This window comes from Homo sapiens, chromosome 3 (genome assembly GCF_000001405.40).
Source record: "Homo sapiens chromosome 3, GRCh38.p14 Primary Assembly".
Classification (NCBI taxonomy): domain Eukaryota; kingdom Metazoa; phylum Chordata; class Mammalia; order Primates; family Hominidae; genus Homo; species Homo sapiens.
The window spans coordinates 81,315,263-81,336,539 of record NC_000003.12 but is presented as its reverse complement, the minus strand read 5'-3'; the positions used below and the strand labels follow the sequence as shown (position 1 = coordinate 81,336,539).

Below are 21,277 nucleotides of genomic sequence, written 5' to 3'. Positions count from 1 at the left end.
CCCCACAATATTATTGCTGAATAAGAGCAGGGATCTTCTTTTATGTTCTCTGATACATACCTAGAAAATGGAGAACACCTAGTGTGTGGCAGCTGCATGAATGACACATTCGGCTTCGTTAGTTATGAGACTCAAGGATCACAATAGTCATTTTCATATTTTTGAAATAATTTTTATTAACTAATGCCAATTTTAAGAGAACATATTTAATTGCCTGTGATTCAATTAGAGATTGGAGCACGTTGAAGACGGAGTTTACCTCTCCTATCCTGTTGCTAATCAGTAAGATTGAGGACTTAAAAGGCCTGAAGCTTTCTAGATCTTGCCTGCATTTTATTCTATAGAGAAGAGATACATACTGAGCAGACAAGTGTCAGTATCCAGGAGCTGTTGTTTTATGGAAAGTACTTTTTCTTTACACTGAATACCGTGGGTGGTAATGAGAAATTTATGCATGCATGTGGTGGCAGATACAGGCGTGGTCAAGTGGATGAGGAAGAAAGAGATGGGGGCTATTTAAAGATATGAACTTTGTCACTGGGAGGCAGATTCAGGTTATCTAATTCACTTTTCCACTCTTGTTGGTAGTACCATGAAAGGAACTGGATTTTCTTTCTTATTGTCAGTAAAGTATTTATCTAGAAGTCAGAGAAAAAACATTGACGTCATTTGGTAGTGTGTGTGTATATTTGCTCATTGTACTATACAAATGTCTCTTATTGATGCTTTTTTTATTTTTTAATTTATTATAATTCAGTTCCCTTGTTCATTTCCTATATTCCTTTGAAATATATTTATTTAATAATAACACATATCTAAATGATAAAGAACAAAACCTGGTATAAATTTTGTTTTTACATAAAATAAAATTGATGTAGTTCCAAAGTTTACAATGAAGAGCTAAAGCTTTTATCTTTAGGGGAATTTAAGGTGGTCACATATTTTTAATATATTTAATACTATAAACAATGACTTACAACTAAAAAACATTGATATGGAATTGTGCCTTAATTCAGAATGTGTGTCCTGGAACTTTTCAACCTGTTTTTCTTTCAGTTAACTAGATTAATTTCTTATTTTAAAACATCTCTATCATTCTCACATTAGAAGATTGATCAGAAAAAAATTGATTTATTAAAACAATGACAAGGAAATAGAACCTACTAATACAAGCAGTTATGTTGCATTTTTCACGTCTACAAGACTCCAGCAAACATTGCCTAAGATAGATGTGTGTGGAAAAGAATATCTATTTATTGTGATTACTACTATATATAACTTATATTTATATAAGAATATACATATATACATACACATATATGTATATCTATCTGTCTATATCTATCATCTGTCTATATTTTGTGGACTAATATGTTTACACCTTTAAGGATTCATTACAGTTCCCTAGAAGCAAACAGAGAAACAAATAATTAGAAATCAATTTTGAAATCTTCTAACTTCATACAAAATTCAAATGAGCAGAGGAAAAAGCAAATGCAGATTTGATAAATAAATTTTTTTTTTAAATAATAGGAGAACCAGTACTCCAGCTACCTAAATTTAAGTTAACTGTTGAAGTAAAGTGTACCAGGACATTCAAGGTGTATCTCATTCTTTGTGGGAAAGTATAATTAAATTTGAAAAAATAAAAATTTAAAAATTCAAGTAAAAAATTGACATGTGGAAATAACATTTTTTTGTAAGCTAAACTTTGAAAGTGGACATATTTTTAATACTTTATATTACAATTATTTCAAATTTTTTTATTATACTTTTCTGGTGGCTTTTAAGAGTTATAGTTTGCCCATTGTACTTCAAGTAAAATGTAGTTTTTATCAGTGCAATAAAGCATTTTCAAAGCAATTAATTTGCATTAATCCATTTGTATTTTTGATGCTGCTAGTTAAATCTTATTTGGCAGAATGTCAGCCAATTCACTGCAGTATTCATAATTTTCTTGGCACATGAGTTATAGATATGAGCTTACCTAAAATAAATGTATGGTTTCTCATGATAGCTGGGAAGTATCTCACTGAAAACCATGTTTACCAAGTAAGCTGTTATTTGAAATAACATTTCCTCGTTATCTCAGGATAACACTGTAAATTATATGTATTATTCAGAATACTAAACAAATATTTTCAGGAGCTCATCAAGAACCTGACTTACAGCTCTGAAATTGTCGCAGTGTTACTCCGAGAACAAATCTTGTTTGTGTATATATTATGAAATTAGACTACACCAAGCCCACAGGCAGATGCAATCATTCTTTCAACTGTACAATAAATCCTGCTGCTCTGAAAAGGTTGAAAGCCTATTTGCATTTGTCAGAGGTAATGAAATGCATCTTAATAGACTCAAATATGCAGCTTTAATAAGTATCAGCCAAATATAACCATTTGCTGGGTGTGATCAGGTGGGCTCCTAACATTAAGCTTTGTTTCTCTAGTTGGCTCTTGTTTAGTTTTCCTGTTTGCATAGCAGCAAATATGAAGCATTAGACTTGTGGGTGGATTGAGCTTCAAAATTATTATCGTGTAGAAATAAACAGGAATCGCTTGTTTAGTCGGCAAATAAATGCTTAAGAAAAAAAGCCTATATTATGCTAAGGTTTTTGGATCTACTGTTAGATTGATAAGTAAAAATGCCCTTTTTGACAAGTTTCTAATCTCAGGAACAACAACAACAACAACAACAAAATAAATGGAATATGTGTTCCAAGAAGGTTTGCATAATTACCTATAATTATGCAAAGTTCTTGACATACAACTCTACAGACAGACATCTGGCTTGGAAAGTTTTTCTTTAACGGAAGTTGATATTGGGAAATTTCTGTTTTCTTTTTTCTCAGATTTTCTAAAGAGTTTTAAAATTTCAGATAGATCCACTATATAGACAACACTTTTTTTATACCACAGTAGAACTAAAGGCAATTTCAGAATTAGTATCCTAGCATCACTCATACTATACCAACTGGAAATCTATATCCAAAAGAGAAGAGAGCCTACATCCACTCCAAAAATGCAGCTAGCATAAGGATTGACTTGGAAGCTCTGCATGCCTACTTCTTCTAAACAGTGCTTGAGCAGCCTGAACACAATGGTATAAATAAAAATAAACATCCTTCAGAATAACAAGAACATGTTCATCACACCTGGATTCATCCTCATCACAGCTGATGTGTACAGGAATGATTAGAAATCATATAGATACTGATGAGGAGTAAGAGGAAGTTATTTAAAATTCGGCTGCACCTTGTGCTCAAAATATCTCCATCAGCTTATAGTCACTCTGTAAACAATTTAGGAAACCATGTTTTTTATACTGAAAAAGCTTAATTTTATGAATATTTTAGATACATTTATCCAGATTGAAATTTTTTAAAATGCAAGCATAACATCTTCTTCTCTATTTCATAACAGGTGTAACTAAAAAAACAAAAAACCCCGAACACATGTTACTTAGAAAGTATAGATTTTCTCTATGAAGATAACTCTCTTGTTGGTTCATCATTGTTTTAGAACACTGTACTAATAATTAGGACATGAATCTGTTTTTTAATAATACAACTTGATCATATCTACCATATTCCAAACGTATAAAACCAAAAATCAGCAAAAAGAACCCAGCTCGCAAATACTTTGAAACCCATCCTTTATTGACGATGGATCAACATCATCATATGTTTGATGGTACAGTATGAAACACAAATATCTAAGTAAAGGCCGGTTATCTGGTAAGCTGTCGTCTCTTAGACACAAAGTTAATTTATATTTAGGCACCAAAATCATAACATTGACTTCACTCAAGTTTAAATATGTCCATTTAAACATCAATCTAAATGAGAATTACATCAGAATTATATATTATTGGTCAATAAATAATAAATGAATGAATGAGAATGATCTATGAGTTAATTGGCTAAACAATACAGGTTTGCAAATAATTTACATGTATACATAATACTGATTTCACTCCTATTTAATCATCAGTGTTTTTCATGTTTACTAGATAGATTTACTGTTTGATATACAGGTTCTTAAAAAGAAACTTTTTTTTCTATTTTTATTACAAGTACCTTTTAATATTCTTATGGCTGGCTATCTTCTGCTGCTGGTAGAAATGTGTCTGATCGTTGTGGTGTGTGCTATAAAATCCTTTTTGAGTGGAATGTTGGCTTCTATCAGTCTTTTCTTTAAGTGTCTATTCTATTTTTCTTTTTCTAATAAAAGGCCTAGCTGGGCTGATGATGTTGCTATTACATTGCTCTTTTCACCACCCTGTTTCTGACTTTTCCATTAGCACAGATACACCTTCTGTAACATTGCTGAGTAATAGGCCTGCTCCTCTATCTCACCCAGAATACTGCAATTTGTCTTTTTGTCTGTTGACCTTTGTATTTTGAACAGTGGAATAATATCTCCTGACTTTGTTTTCTCTGATATACACTGACTTCTAAGTTACTCTGCGACTCATGTTTCCATCTGCCTAAACATAGTTTTCATGTGTCTCCTCCTGAGTTGTATGGTTATTGGGTCAAACGTGTATTATTTTTCTAGTCTTGAAGACCATGTTATGGGATCTTTCAATAGCACCACTGATCAATTTGACTCAGGAAAAAAACTGCATCATGTTGTCTGCAGGCTTTCCTTTTCTCTCATTTAAACATTTTGAAATAAAATAACTCAGGAGTTCTCAAATTGTGTTCCAAAGATTACTCATTTCAAGTCATCATAACCATATAATAACATAGATCATATTAGTAGATACGATTGCATACATTTTTCTGTGTAGTTAAGCAATTTTGTGAAAGGCTACATTAAGCCAAATTAATCAGGTCATTTTAATGTAGAATTTCTCATTGTCTTCAAGATTTATTAAGTTTTTTGTGACCATATATGAACTTTTCCAGGAAGAGCACAGTGCACTTTGTGGAACATACTTTGAGAAGTGCTTTGGTAGTTTTTTTTACTCCTTGCTTTCACTCAGGATTAATACAGAGTGGACTTAAATACAGTCTGTTCTCCCCAGCTTGTTCCTCTATCGGATGATAAAAGAGGACATTCTAGCAATGAGACAAGATGAAACAGCAATTTCATTACATATAAACATTACATTCTATTTGGGAGCTTAGGTTTCATGTCTTCCTTCGTCAGCTACCACATCTTACTTTATATCTTTTCCTGTCTTGTTGTTTCCTTATATCAGTTGTGTGTACCTGTTCTTTAAAAATAGGCCATATGCATCTTTGAGAAGACCCTGAAATACACTTCCTTCTCTGTTCTGTGGCATTTCACAAGAGTAAAATAAACGTTAAAGTCAAAAGTGCAATAGTATTAAATATTAATTATATTTTAAATACTGATAATTAAGATTGAAACAAAATAATTATTGGGTTACACTTTTCTTTAATAAAAATTCTTTCTATTTCTTTCTTGCATTTTAAAAACTTTTCACATATTATCTAAATCCCTAGTGAGTGTTTAGGGAAGGTGATTGAGTGGTAGCTGTTAAAAATTTTGTAATGTTTGATTCTAGAAATGACCAAATAGAAGGTTTACTCTATTCCACAAAGATTATGAAACTAGACAAATTATATAAAGCATGTATTTTAGACATTGGACAACATTCCAAGACCGTACTGTGATTCTTAACGATAACTCAGAAAGTTAGCTTCACAGTCACTGCATTCTGCCTGGAGCCACTTTTCAAGCTGTGGTTTAAAAAGTGGAGCCTAAGTAGATGTCAGTAGTCTCTTTGGATGGAGAAAAGCACAGATCAGCTTGAGGCTTCCCAGGCAGCTGTATTTATCCGCACATGTTACCATAGAGAATAGTCCAGGAACTAGCACGGAGGTACCCTCCACCACTGAATTGTCATACATGTTTTAAAAACCTAAAAGTCTTGGAAGAGAACAACTACTGGTGGCTGTGAGAGGAGACAAGATTCTGGAAGTTGAATGATGATGGGAGATGCTGGAGATTTAAATGGGCAAGTAGAGAAGTCTCAATGAATATACTAATTATTCAGTTGAGACTCCAGAAAGACTACTGTGGGAAAGAGAGTTTCTGGGGTGCCAGTTGAGTTGGTCTGCCCTGTGTGAGACACCCATGGGGAGCCATGGGCGGCCTCTGAGGAGAAAAGTCTCCTTATTGCCTTCATGTCTTTATGCCCCCAGAGCGTAACCGCTCAGCGGCATTCCACAGGTTGCTGGGGGAGATAACACTCCCTTGAAGCAGGGAGTATAATCAAACATCTTGGCTCATCCTGAAACCCGCTCCCACCCATTTCAGTCCTGATAAGTTAATGATCTTAAGTAATTTAGACACACGCCTTTGCTCAAGGAAATTCACAGAAACCGCCACTGCTATACATCTTATCGAATGACTCACGAGTTCTCCTTCACTGATTAATCCTTTCCCTCATCCCTTCCTCCCCTTCCCATCTGCCCTAAGAACAAAGAGCTTGTAAACCAATAAATTGGGTGGAGCCCGAGAGCTCTGGGCCATGAGCAAGCCTCCGACTCTCCGGTCCCCTGGACCTGCCTTTTAAATGCTTCTTCTGTCTCTTTCTAACTCCTTTCTCTCCACTGGACTTGGGGTACCTGCTGGGTGGTGTGGGGCTGGTTTCCCCAACAACTACAGTTTAGGATTGTTCTTGGTCATGCTGTTGGCTGACCCTTTTAAGTTCCCTAGCTGGGGTCACAAAGGCAACGTCCTACCAGCATAGCCAATCACCTTCATGCTCCAAATGCACATGCCAATTATACAGGCTGACAAAATAACAGCAAACTACCTACCAACGAACCAATGAATCAACCAACAAACCGGAATAATAGCTATGGAAGCTCTGATATAAATAGCAAACCCAGGAGCATTTGGTTCTCCCCCTTCGAAGAGCAGGATTCCTGGCCCCATCCTCAGTTTTTATTTCTGTTTATCCCTTCCTTGACACTTCTAAATCCAGTCTAGATTTTCCTTCGGCCTATTGTCTAACTTGCTAGTCTTTCCATTCCACAGGAAAACACCTCTAGAAAGGCTCCCCACTTCCATTTTTGCCCCATAGGCATGGTCCCTGGGGCCTCTAGCATGGGTTTAGCTCTATAATATTCTTAGGTACCTTTCAGGCTCCTGCCTTATTGGAGCAGCCACAGTCCACAGCATGTCTTGCTTCTGAAATTTTAGCTGGCCCATCGGCAACCATAATCACAGCAAACATAGCTGTTCACATTTACATTGGTGGGTTCTTCTAAGGAATTGTAGAGCCAGGCTTCCTTCTCATTGACTCTTGGAAGCCTTAACAACACATCCAGTGCTCTTTGGATTTTGACTCCTAATTATCTTGTGCCCTGATCTATTCGAGGTCCTGATAGGCCATGACCACCTAGTTGGTGGTCCTCCAAATGATGTGCTGCTGCTCCCAGGAGGAAAAATTTCCTCCTGTCATGATGGCCTAGGTAATTGTGTTCTTTTCAAAATATCATAGCAGTAGAGTAAGTGGAATATTTTAATTGCGGTCATCCATAATTTGCAAAGGGAAGCAGACACACACCACTGGTGCCTCGCCATACCGTATACTTGTAACGAAAAGTTTATTACATGAATTTACAAGCAAAGCAGCCTTACAGCACAGGTAAGCACATGTCAAGGAGTTGCAGAGAGAGATGATGCTCTCATTCAGCTTTGCATAGTTGTATGAAATTGTACACAAGAAACAGTTGATTAGATATGTGAGAATAAGAGTTTCCTGGCACTGTAAGAATGAGAAAACCTCTAGAGCTCAGCAGGTTGTGTAAGAAACCTTGTGTGAGGTTTCTTTGAGATCACTGAGCTCATTCAAAACTACAATGTTTCTAAAAGGGGGGTGCGTAATGAGCCTCCAGAACCCTTTGCTGGCCTTGGCTCAGCCTTCTACCAACTGCCAATTCCTTCAGACTTCTTGAGAGAGAAATATAAACTCATTGTCTCCACTTTTAAATGTCTTATGTATTTTTAAACTCTCTCTATTCTGGCTTGTGTATCAAAACTTCTTAGGTTAAAGACTGGAAATAGCTCCCTTGTTTATAAATCCAAAGCACTTTCAATTTTCCTTATTTTGTTTGCCCTTTCTCGGAAATTGGTCCATTTTCTCTTTTTCAAAGTTCATTGTTTCTTTGGTTTTTAATTTTCTTTTAATGTATATTTTTGTGGGCACATGGTAGGTGCATATATTTATTGGGTACATAAGGTGTTTTGATACAGGCATGCAATCCTTTGGCTTCCATGATCTAAGTCTCTCTTTCTCTCAATCTCTCCTCTCTCTCAGTTATTCCCCTATATTCTCAGTATGCCTTTTAGTCTCAATTTCTTTTCTTATATACTTCTCTTTGTTTGTATTTTGGAATACTGGTATTCATTAAAGTCCCAAGAGATAGATCTCTTCTCTTCCTTCTCTTTTAAGTGATCACATTTACTCTGATGGATTAATAACTCTCTATATGCGTGTAAATCTCACACCTGTACATCCATGCCCAGCCTATCTCATAGTCTCCAGACACATAACTACCTATCTCATGTGTCTAAAACTTGGATGCACCATTTTTTTCTTCTACATTAAACTTGTAACTTTCTTGGTGTTCTTTTGCCCTGCAATTTGCTCTTCTACTTAGTGACAAAAATAAAATTCTTGTCAATAATATTTGTTTTCTCCCTCTCTGCCACGTGAAATGATTCCTAAGTCCTATTGATTTCAATTCCTCCATATATTTCAAGTCTGTCACTTCTTCTGCACCTGCCTGAATCAGGTTCTCATTAATATCTTGTTTATGGAAAATAACCTTATAATGGAATTCCCTGATTTCAGAATTATTCCCTTCTAAACCATTTTCAGTGGTTTAGCTGGAAAGATTATTTTACAAATAAAAATATTCTTGTTTAAAATCTTTGAATGTTTCCTCAGTGGTCTGCAGAAAACTGTATACATTTCCAAGCATGACCCTGATACTTCATGACACAGATCCAGCCTGTCTCTCCATGCTGCTTCTGTTGCTATGCCTTAATATTTGTTCTCCAACAACATTTCAACCTCTGATTTATATCATCACACACACACACACACACACACACACACACACACACACTCCCTCATGTTCTGTGCAAAAGACTATAAACAGCTCCATGTGCCTAGAAAGGCTTCCTTCTGCCCTGTCCCTTTGGCTGGGTTACCTCTTACATGTTTTCCAACATTCAGTTCGTGTTTTACCTTCTCTGGAATGCCTTTCTCTTTTTCCCTATGTTAAAATTTATTTATTTATTTATTCATTTTTCTATTTTTAAAGATTGTCTTGGTTACATAGTAGGTGTACATATTTGTGGGATACACAAGATGCTTTGATACAAGCATGCAATGTGAAATAATCGCAGGATGAAGAATGGGTTGTGTCCGCAAGTATTTATATTTTGTGTTAAAAACAATCCAATTACATCCTTTCAGTTATTTTAAAATGTACAATTAAGTTATTATTGAATAGAATTCACCCTATTCTGCTATCAAATAGTAGATCTTATTCATTCTTTCTATTTTTTGTACCAATTAACCATCCCCACCTCCCCTCAGGCTCCCACTATCCTTCTCAGCCTCTGTTAACCACCCTACTCTCTATGTTCATGAGTTCACTTGTTTTGAGTTTTAGATGTAACAAACAAGTGAGAACATGCAATGCTTGTCTTTCTGTGCCTGGCTTATTTCACTTAACATAATGATTTCTAGTTCCATCCATGTTGTTGTAAATGACAGGAATGCCTTTCTTTCTCTCTCTCTCTTTCTTTGCTTCTTTCTTTCCTTCTCTCTCTGTTTTTTCTTTTTATTTTTTTTTAACGGAGTCTCACTCTGTTACCAGGCTGGAGTGCAGTGGCCCCATCTCAGGTCGCTGCAACTTCCGCCTCCCAGGTTCAAGCAATTCTCCTGCCTCTTCCTCCCAAGTAGCTGGGATTACAGGCATGTGTCACCACACCCAAGTAATTTTGTATTTTTAGTAGAGACGGGGTTTCTCCATGTTGGTCAGGCTGGTCTTGAACTCCTGACCTCATGTGACCCACCTGCCTCGGCCGCCCAAAGTGCTGAGATGACAGGCGTGAGCCACCGCGCCTGGCCTTGAATGCCTTTCTTTTGACATCACATATACCATATGCTGTATTAAATGAACTGAAATTTTTGGCTTAGTTTCCTTGTACATAAATGGGAGTGTCAGTGTACTAATGAGAATATATTAATAGATAATTCTAAGGTATGTGCCTTGAGTAAATAACTTTACCTACTTTTAATGAGCTTTTCACATGCTACAAATAGTAGTAAATTTTATATGGGAATTCAATTTTAAAAACTTTGCTTGTTAGTAAAAAGATCAACACATAGGCCAAGGGTGAAAGTTTAGCTTAAATAATTTTTCATGAGATAATATTATGTACTCCATCCAAGTTTTGTCAGAATCTGGCAGAATCAAGGGTAAAATTTATGTATTTCTTTTGTAATTAGTTACCTTTTGCTATTAAAATTATTCTAAATTTGCATATTTCTCTTTCTAATTTCATATATCTCCCATCACAATTGCAATTATTTTGTGTTCTCAGGATTTATCCTGTTATTATGTTTATCATTCTGCTATTTTGTATATCCTATTTCTTGGGTCTCACATCTCTAGGGCAGCCTCGTAATTTCTATTATTTGTATATAACAAAAGTGGGTTTTTAATGACCTCTCATTTTGAGGTTTCTAATAATGCCAAAGGAGTGTGTTATTTTTACCTTTCTAGGAAAAACTGTGTTGTAATGTGTTGATCTTTTTTGAAATTATGTCTTTTGCAGTAACATGGGTGGAACTGGAAGCCATTATCATAAGTGAAATAACTCAGAAAGTCAAATACTGGATGCTCTCATTTATAGGTAGGAGCTAAGTAATGTGTACGCATGAACATAAAGAGTGCAATAAAAGATATTGGAGACTCAGAAGGGTGGGAGGTTGAGAAGGATGTGAGGAATGAAGAATTACCTAATAGGTAAAATGTACCTTATTGGGGTGATTGTTTACACTAAAAGCCCAGACTTCAACACTACACAGTATGTCGTTGTAACAAAAGTGCACTGTATCTCCTAAATCTATAAAAATAGTAGTGAATCTTGCAGGTAGTCTCATTGCTTATATAGCTATTAACCATAACATCTAAGTCTTTGTTTTTGCACAGGGAAAATATGGAACTCTAATTTCAGGTGAAGGGATTTCAGCTGGTTAGTAACTCAGTGACCCACTCAGAACAGAGAACACCCTCTCCTCTCCCTCCTGACAAACCAAAGGAGGTGACTCTATATGAGGGATATATTTGACTTGGCTTCTCCTAGAAAGAGATGTTGACATTATCTGCAAGCGATTGTGTTCTTTTGCTTTTAAGTCTCATTTACTATTTTCTCTTCGTTCTTTCTTCCTTGTCATAAGGCTTGACTCCTGAATCACATTCCCCATGTTCATTGCTTGGTAAAAACAATAGATCTCATCAGGATTGTGTTTCAACAGGTAGGTGTTCCTACTTATTTTATTTTCTCTCATAAGTCAAATGGAAAGAAATAGTTTCTTATTGTTAAAAATGCAACATTTTGTGATAACAAAGTTGAAAGGAATTTTAGTAACTGCAAATGGCTTCCAGTTACCTAAGGATCTCTATAGAATTAAAGTAACGATTCTAATACCTCTGTTTGTGTGCGCACCTGTGTGTGCACCTACACATGTATATTGTCATGTTTTGTTTCTAGAAAGTGTTATGTTAATAAATTAACATCCCCAATCTGGCTCATTTTACCTATGAATAAATAGGTCAGTTTATGGCATACTGGAGTATAGATCCACGTCTCTGTTCTCCTAGCCCAACATGTCTTCTGCCACACTACGTTGTCTCTGATAGCTGTATCCTTTGCAAGAAGGTCCAACCTACATTTATGTGATATCAATTATCCTAGCAGCTTCTCTGCAATGAGCAGCCTGGTGTCTGTTCCTTGACAATATGTTGAGTGGTATTTGCCAGAAAGAAGCTTTATCAGAAAAAAAAAGGCAAGGGATGTGCTAATTCACCAGTTACCATAATCCACATTCCCATAATGTACCTCAAGGACATTGTCCCATATTTTTATCTAGAAACCTTTGGCACATGTATCAACTCTGGGTCAATGTACCTGCTCCACGGACATCCCTGCATCAACTTGGATTGCACAAAGGTACAATTAGCCTACAGGCTGCATGTATTCTAATTTTGAATTATGAATCTCAAATGGAGCTTATTTTGCCAGATTTGACTCTGTGCTCAGATTCTGGCTTGACAGTTTCTAGGAACCTGCATGGTTTCCATTACAGCGAATGAATATTATATGAGATTTGAGGAATTTCTGCGTATAATCTGGACAAAATTGAGGTTTCAGACCTCCATATGGGTGAGCCTTTTGGTGAGCCAGGTTCTACTGAAGCAAGGGTATCTTCTATTCGAGCCTTCAAATTTAGGATTTAGGGTCATAACTTAATGCTTGTCACTGAACTAAAGGCATTGTCTCTGATTCATGGTCACCAGTGTAAAATTCCAAGAGGTTTTCTTTCAAGCTGTCTGAATTGAGGTTGATGACACTGTGCATATCCAGCTGTTGATGGATCTTTCCAGTCACTTCCCAGTATACTCCTATTAAGCACTGCTGGTGCTTAGAAAACTTAATATTATTAAGGATAAAAACTTCGAGGGTTCACCTTACTCAAACACAGTTGAAAGAATGACTTTCCTGAGGTTTGATGCTGTTCTTTATTAATGGGGGTTATATTTGTATTAACCATTTACATTCATTCATTTCCTGTGGTTTTCTGGAACATGAACTATTTTATAAATTAAATACTAGATTTCAAGACTAATTTGATCAATATGTATATTTCCTTCTCCCTGAACAAACTCTCCCTCCCTTCCTCCTTTCCTCCTTTCTTCCCTTTTTTCTTCCTTAATTCCTTCTTTCCTTCCCTTTTTCCTTCCTTTCTTCCCTTTTTCCTTCCTTCCTTACTTCCTTTTCCTTCCTTCCTTTCTTCCTTTTAAGGGGTTTTGCCATCAGTTTGTATTTCTTTCAAAGGATTAGCTGTGATACCTGCACATAATTCTGCCAGAGCCTGAGCCAACCTTGAGTGTTTTCAAGTGAATGTGTTTTGTTGTTACAAATCAAATAATCATAAGCCTTTGTCTTATTGAGTGCAATTTATGCAATCTGTTTTAATAAATGACAGGGATTATATGGTCAAATGAACTCTTTTTGATCCTTAACCCTTAGCTTAGCCTTCTTTATAACTAGAGATTTGAGATACTACATCTTAAGCAGTGAAATTAGTCCTTCACTATAATTCCATTGAAGTTACAAAATGAAACAAAACTTGAGTTTAAAATTAATAAATAACTCCAACTATGTATGGTGGGACTGGAAATAGGGAAGGAATGAGGTTGTGCCTATGGTGTTTATGTGGTAAAAAGAGCATACATATTTTTAAATTTTAAAAATGTAGGTTTGAATTTCAATCAGGATAATCTTTGAGAGTTGATACACCTTTTAGAGCTTTAAATTCCTTGTCAGAAAAAATGAATTTGACAATCCCTATATATTAGAGTTACTTTAAAGATTTACTAATGTATGTTGCATAGTGCCTTTAGAGATAAATAATGAATACTAGCTTCCATCTCTTTCCTTTCCCTCAAAATTTCTTATTTTACATAAGACATGCATTTACTCACACTACTAAAACATAAATCCATGAGATAATACTGCCTAGGCAAGGTAGGTTTTATAGATTGACTTAGACCTATATCACAACTAAAGAGACATTTGGAAAGCCAAGATTTTATTTTCTGAGAATAAATATGTTTTATTACCAATTGCAGCAGGATTGCTCCAGCCAGCAGGCTCTCATCTGAGTTCCTACGGCACACTTCTGGATAGACTACAAGAATTTAAGTTCACATTGCGCCACTTTCTAGCATATGATCTTAAAAAGGTAACTTATCCTTTCTCTGCCTCAGTTTTCTTACTGTAAAATATCATTTAATGACAGTAACTTTCTCAGTAGAGTTAGTATGAGGATAAAATGTGCCTAGATCTTTGAAAATGGTAAAAAGGTGATTTGTTATATTTTGTATTATGGTAATATCAACTTGGCCATGTGTCTGTTCTTCCAATAGATGCAGATAGATGTCCTCCTGTTTTGGCCCACTCTACATCAGCAGTCTTGCTGAATATGTGAAGTAGTGAGTAGCAGAGGGGTGTTTAGGCCAGTTCATGGCCCTTCCCTTGAGATTTCATACTTCAGAAAACAAGTAACAATACAAGAAGGGGTGCTACTGACATATTAGATTTTTTTTTTTATTTTGAGGATCAATGATAAATAAACAAGAAGGTATCTCATCCATGATATCTACATTCCCTCTTTCTACAATTTCCATCTTTTGTTAGTTTGCTCTAGGACATCTATTGACAGGAGCAATGGCTGACATGACTAATGTTAGCATAAATTGCAGGGTCAGAGAAGTAAGGCAGTCCCTCACTTTCCCTACATATGATTAAAAAGTAACCATGCAAGAATGGGATGATTACAACTTGCCTAATGATTATGTTCAGTCCCCGGTGGTCTTTCTATACTAATCATTAGTATACCAGGAAATGTGACTAGTAGAATGTCAAAATACAGTTAAACTTTTTGTGCCATTTCCAGTATAAATACACAAGCAATATAAAGTTTACAATGGTGAAGAGGGAGGATTTTATCTTTCATCAGCAGCCAGGGATTTAGAAGAGTGATGTGTGAAAGGTAAAAAGAGTAAAAAGTAAATTCTCCTTTATCAATAACTGAAATTAAGCCTATATGTAAAGAGAAGATACCTATGTAAAAATATAAGTACGTGGACACATATAGAAACACACACATATCTGAATATGTTTTTAACTGATAACAGGGTGGGTTTTGGCAGACAGTACTTCAGATGTTACTGATTAGAAGTAATGAGGCTGAAGCTAGTAAAAATTTAAGTGACTCCTAAAGTTTATATAACCTGTTAGTGGCAGACCAGCTTTTAAAATTCACTCCTTGATTCCATTAAGTCCTAGAGCTTAGTCCATTAAGCCATGCTACCTCCATTTAAAACCTATTACCAGATCTTTTCCATGCTTAAGCATTCAGTGTTTGAAGTAACTAAATGCAACACAACTGAAGTGGCATATTCTTGGATAGATGCTCACATATTTGCATATAGATCTCTACTCTTTTATTTGCCATAAGTTTTAAGCTTATAAATTAATAATGGTCCTATATAGCTAAGGATTTCTTTTTATGTTGTTAAATGCTTTCTTCCATGATTATTTCCAGAGTGGCTGATGTTAATTTTGCAGCCTGTGTAGGCTGAACTGATATCTCTTAAATCACAGTGCTTGATAAAGGGAGGAGGTTAATAAGGCATGGGTCATTACAATTGTAGACCCATTCTAATTTATACTAATGACTAATGGGACTCATAGCAAATAAGAGTCTGTGAATTGGAAAGTGAAATGGCTTGGTTAAAAACAATGAGTTTTATGTGTTTTGGAACCACACAAAGAGAATGATAATTTTGGTGTCATCTATTCCTGATAGAGAAACTGTCAATACAGAAAACAGAGGATTGCTTGTGAATAGCTTTTGTGAATAAAGATATTCACAGACTCATAATAAATCAGGTTCAATTGCGGTGAACTCTGCAAGAGTATGGCTGTGGTCTTTATCTTACAGTTTTGATGAAATATTTTCTGAAATAAAGGATAATCAGGTGGGGTATTTTTGTTTTATGGAAAATGTTAGTTTTTGTCATTATAGGATTTGACCTATAGATGAAGTACTGTTTAGTTACATTTTTTTGTGAATCAGCCCATATATATTCTTATTAGGGTTTCTCTTTTATTAAGAAATATCGGGAACAGCAGAAGCCACGTAATTAAAGGGAGCCTAAGGTTTCAAAGCACCTATTGAGAATTAACCTTCCCCCACAAGCCCCAGGGAAAAGAACTATTGTCCCTTAGAACCATTTAGAAAGAGGTGGGGAAAATCCAAGCTTCTGTAACCCCAAAACAAGTGGATTTACTCTGTTAACTTTTTCTGACTCCAGGAGCTTTTGATATTATCCACTGATGCTAGCTTGTAACTCTGTGTGTGTGTGTGTGTGTGTGTGTGTGTGTATACATGCACATGAATATGTGTTTGTGTGTTGGGGGTTGGATACACACAAGGCAGATCTTGAGAAATTAATTTTGTGCTCGTCACTAAAATAAGCCTATCTTATGGCCACATAACATACAACACACTTAAAGAGGATGCTTTGGCGGGGCACGGTGGCTCACGCCTGTAATCCCAGCACTGTAGGAGGCCGAGGTGGGCAGATTACCTGAGGTCCAGAGTTGGAGACCAACCTGGTCAACATGAGGAAACCCTGTCTCTACTAAAACTACAAAAATTAGCTGGGCGTGGTGGTGCGTGACTGTAGTCCTGGCTACTCGGGAGGCTGAGGCAGGAGAATCATTTGAACCTGGGAGGCGGAGGTTGCAGTGAGCCGAGATCATGCCAGTGCACTCCAACCTCCGCAACAGAGTGAGACTCCATCTCAAACAAAAAAACGAACAAACAGAAAGCAGATGCTTTAGTTCTAACATTAGCAACGCTGAATAAGTGCAAAAAGAATGGAGAGAAAACACACTTTTAGGTGTGGAGTGATAATCGTTTCTCAGTGTCCTCACAGTGTTAGATTGGTTTTTGTGAGGCTGTGCTGAGAAGCTCTTGTAGTCTCTAATTACAGCATTTATTATCAGTCTTGGCTTAGTACAGAGGTACCAAAATTATGTTGCTTTGGTGTTAATTCCAGGTCTGTGATACCATCTCTGGACAGTTTGTGCAGACTATTTAGGAGAGAAGGACTGGGGTCCTGGGTGGGTAGTGTGGGCAGCTGTGTATTATTTAACCCTAAAAGCATCCCTTCTGTCATAGACGGAAGAAAAAGATCCACGGTGGGAAAATTCAGAACGATAAACCGCAGTGTTGAGAAGTGAGTCCTTTCGAAGAGGTGGACTGAATGAAGCCTTTTCTAAAGAATAAGTCATCCGTTCTTGGGGGAGCAAAACAATGACTAATTAATGAAGAGCTGAGCGTGTGTGTACCTATAGGTGGAGATGTAGGTGCACATACAGAGAGGGACAGAGAGAGGGGAAAGTGAGCACAGGATCCTACCATGTGTGCAGCGTCAGTTTTGCCTGAGAAATCATGCCCATTGTGTTGAGAGGGATGCAGGATAACTTGGGACTAAATATGGATAAGCTGGGTATATAGTTCTTAGGATATCAAGTAGATAGCTCCTCTGACCCACTATTGTGGAGGGTATTTAGACAAAAAGTAACATTCAATTGAAAATATTTCCCACACAAGCTGACTGTCTGAAGACGATTTATACCAAAACACAAAACAAAACAAAATAAAACAACCCCCCAGTCCTTGCCTAGAATCACATTGCTTGACTTGGAACTAGATATTCAAATCTTAGCAGTATCAAGTAGGGATGAACCTCTGAAAATGTCACACCTGGGTAGTTACCAGTGGTGAAAATCTCTCAAGACATGATTTGATTTGAAAAGTAGAAATATCTTTCCCCTCACCTCCTCATCCTCTTCTTCCTCCTAATCTTCTTCTTTAAATAGGTTCTTTTGTTAGATTTCTTTTTATCAAAATATAAATATTGAGAATTTATCTCTTGGTAATCATATTACTTTATGAAGACTAAAACATCTGGTACAACTGCCCTTTACCTTCCAGAGGAATCTCAACTAGAAAGCTTTGATTTACCAGTTATTTCTTAATTCAAAATAATTCACTACATGATGTAAAATTGCAAGGAGCACGTTATAAAAGTATCTTTCCTACACCATCTACCAATTCCTTTCTTCACAGAAATACATTTTATAGCAGTTTTCTCATAAGTACATATATGTATTTGTCTCTTTTTAAAATTTTACTTTTCTCACTAGAAATATATGTCAATGAATGTAACATTTGAACACTTAAAAGACATATAATCATTATAAAAGATAGAGAGATATCCTTAAGCTTACTTCAAACTCCATCACCCCTACTTGCCCTGGGGACCCTTTGGGTACTTATTTTAAATATTTCTAGGTTCTTAGAGTGGATTTTTATGCCTTGAAATTAACACATTGATAGCTCCAGTAATTTATTTATCAACCTCAAGAATGTTCTTTTTAACCTGTCTTTCTCCTATCACTGGTAATATTACCATTTGTATGTTGTCTTTGTTTTTAGCATATATATTCTTTCACTGTTACCATAGTTGTTTAGCCTTAGTTCTATAATTTAAAGCTTTTTAAGGCTCATCATCACATTTTTATTATTTTTAAAGTATTTTTAATTTTTTTAACTTTTAATTTCAGAAGGTACAAGTGCAGGTTTATTACCAATAATGAGTTCTGAAATTGAGGCAGTAATAAGTAGCCGACCATGCAAAAATAGCCCAGGACCAGATGAATTCACAGCTAAATTCTACCAGATTTACGAAGAAGTGCTGGTACAACTCCTACTGAAATTATTCCAGAGAATTGAGGAGGAGAAACTCTTTCCTAACACATTCTATGAGGCAAGCATCATCCTGATGCCAAAACCTGGCAGAGATTCAACAACAACATAAAAAACTTCAGGCCAATATCTTTGATGAACATCGATGCAAAAATCCTCAACAAAATACTAGCAAACTGAATCCAGCAGCACATCAAAAAGCTTATCCACCATGGTCAAGTTGGTTTCATACACAGGATGCAAGGTTCGTTCAACATACACAAATCAAATGTAATTCATCACATAAACAGAACTAAGACAAAAACCACATGATTATCTCAACAGATGCAGAAAAGGCTTTCAATAAAATTTGACATCCATTCATGTTAAAAATATCTCAGTAAAATAGGTATTGAAGGAACATACCTGATACTTTTAATAACTTCAAGATGGCAAAGGTGATGCCCTCGGGTGGCTAATTTCAAGCTGGAGTGATGGAATAGTCGTATACCCAACTCCCTCTCTGCCAAATGAGAGAAGAAGAGGAAGAGCTGCAATCATTTTTGATGCTCCAAAGCATTTGGCTAAAAGGACATTCATTCTTGTGGTAGTAATCCTAGTCTCATCCCCTTCCTCTGTCCCTGCTGCTACCCTGCCTAGGCCTGATATATACCTACCTAAAATAAAGTAAGGCAGCCTTTGTTGAATAATGTATTCTATCATTTAAACGAGCTTCTGAGGTAGCTATGTCGCCTGTTGACTCATTCTGAGTCTGTAATCAAGCTTCCTATCCCTCCCTGCACAACCCCTCAAAACGCACTCTACGTGTGATGAGACCTTGGCCAAATCACCTCTCAGGGTCTTATTTCTTATATGTAAAATGAGAAGATTGAAGACAGATATTCTGAATTTCTTTCTTTCCTAACTTTTTTTTTTTAATCCTAGGAGAATTTACTTGGGATTTTCATGTAGAATCTCTTATCTATCAATGTGGGAGTGTAGATCTGCCTAGAAACATTAAACTGATTCAACAACATGAAATGTATAGATAATTTATTTCAGTTCTACAAAGCCTATATTCACAGACGCCTGAATACTGTGTGGCTTGTGTGTGTGTGTGTGTGTGTGTGTGTGTGTGTGTGTGTATAGGTATATTCAATTGACTATGCTGGCTTGTGATGGTCCAGGACCGAGAAAATAAGTTTAAATAGAAAACACCAGTGGACATGTGAGTGAGGGAAATCAGGTGTGGATTTCCATGCAAAAACTGCCTATTTCTCTCTCTTTCTCTCTCTCTCTCTTTACTCTCAGGAACAGTCATTTAATTCAGTACTATATCTGCTTTGAGCTTCTGTCAACCTCTCATCTAATTTCATATACAGGGAAGAGAAAGAAACATTTTTAGGGCAAATAGATCAGAGACTATGTACAACACTAAAGGAAAGTCTAAAGTGAGGTTTAACCATGTGAAAGCACTAATATCCTGTATATATCCCCCTGTCATATATCAACACATCTCTTAGAGTTTGAAATCCCTTCTCTGGTCTTCACCTTACTCCCAAACTCTTTCCCAGTTTCCATCTAGAACCAGATTTATATAAACAGGATTAAAATGTGATTATAAATGACAAAGGTGCAACATGCAGAGGCCGCTTACTAAAGAATATTTGAGAAGGGAGAGAAGAGAAGTGACAAGGGAGACAGTTTTCTCCAGTGACCACGGGTTGGGTGGACATATGCATACCTCCAGAATCTAGAATGCCTTTTCTATGAGTTTTAAGAAAAGTGAATAAGAATAGAGGATCTTCTGGGCCAGGCGAGGTGGCTCACGCCTGTAATCCCAGCACTTTGGGAGGCCGAGGCAGGCAGATCACGAGGTCAGGAGATCGAGACCATCCTGGCTAACACGGTGAAACCCTGTCTCTACTAAAAAAAATACAAAAAATTAGCCGAGTGTGGTGGCGGGCACCTGTAGTCCCAGCTGCTCGGGAGGCTGAAGCAGGAGAATGGCGTGAACCCGGGAGGCGGAGCTTGCAGTGAGCTGAGATCGCGCCACTGCACTCCAGCCTGGGCGACAGAGCGAGACTCCGTCTCAAAAAAAAAAAAAAAAAAAAAAAAAAAAAAAAAAAAAGAATAGAGGATCTTCTGATGTACTTCTTTGTCTTTGGTTATTTATTGGTCAGAATATTGACTCACATGCAGTGCTATGTAAAGGATGGCTTAGTACATACTTTTGTTTAGCACATTGTAGACTTGCTGAGAGAAAGTTTTTGTTACAGACTGAACGGTGTCTGTATTCTCTACTTGAGCTTACATGGAAATTATATTAAGAAAAAGCAAAAATAACCGAAAAGGACATGTTTTAGATATTTCTAAAAATAAAAATTATACAAATGCTAAGAACAGTATTATAACTAGCATATTAAAAGTATTAGATATTGTCCATCTGATATTCTGTAAAAAAATTGTTACTGTTTATATTTTTAAAATGTATTATTCCTACAAACATTTTATTGTAAAATATTACAATCCTGAACAAAACATCTCATGGGATTTTATGAAATCCCAGTTGTTTTGAAGGTAAATGACAGTTTAAGTGGAATTATCAAGGTGACTTCCACTATTGCTGTTATTTTTGTCTGCAGTAACTAATGACAACTTT

The 21,277-nt window shown here is 36.3% G+C and overlaps 1 annotated feature.

The window, feature by feature from the left end:
* Window positions 11,499-12,010: an enhancer, noted in NCBI's record as "H3K27ac-H3K4me1 hESC enhancer chr3:81373681-81374192 (GRCh37/hg19 assembly coordinates)". NCBI's record gives its function as "activates a minimal SCP1, AML or CMV promoter by ChIP-STARR-seq in naive H9 embryonic stem cells {active_cell/tissue: H9 hESC(naive)}" and the evidence as "EXISTENCE:reporter gene assay evidence [ECO:0000049][PMID:30033119]".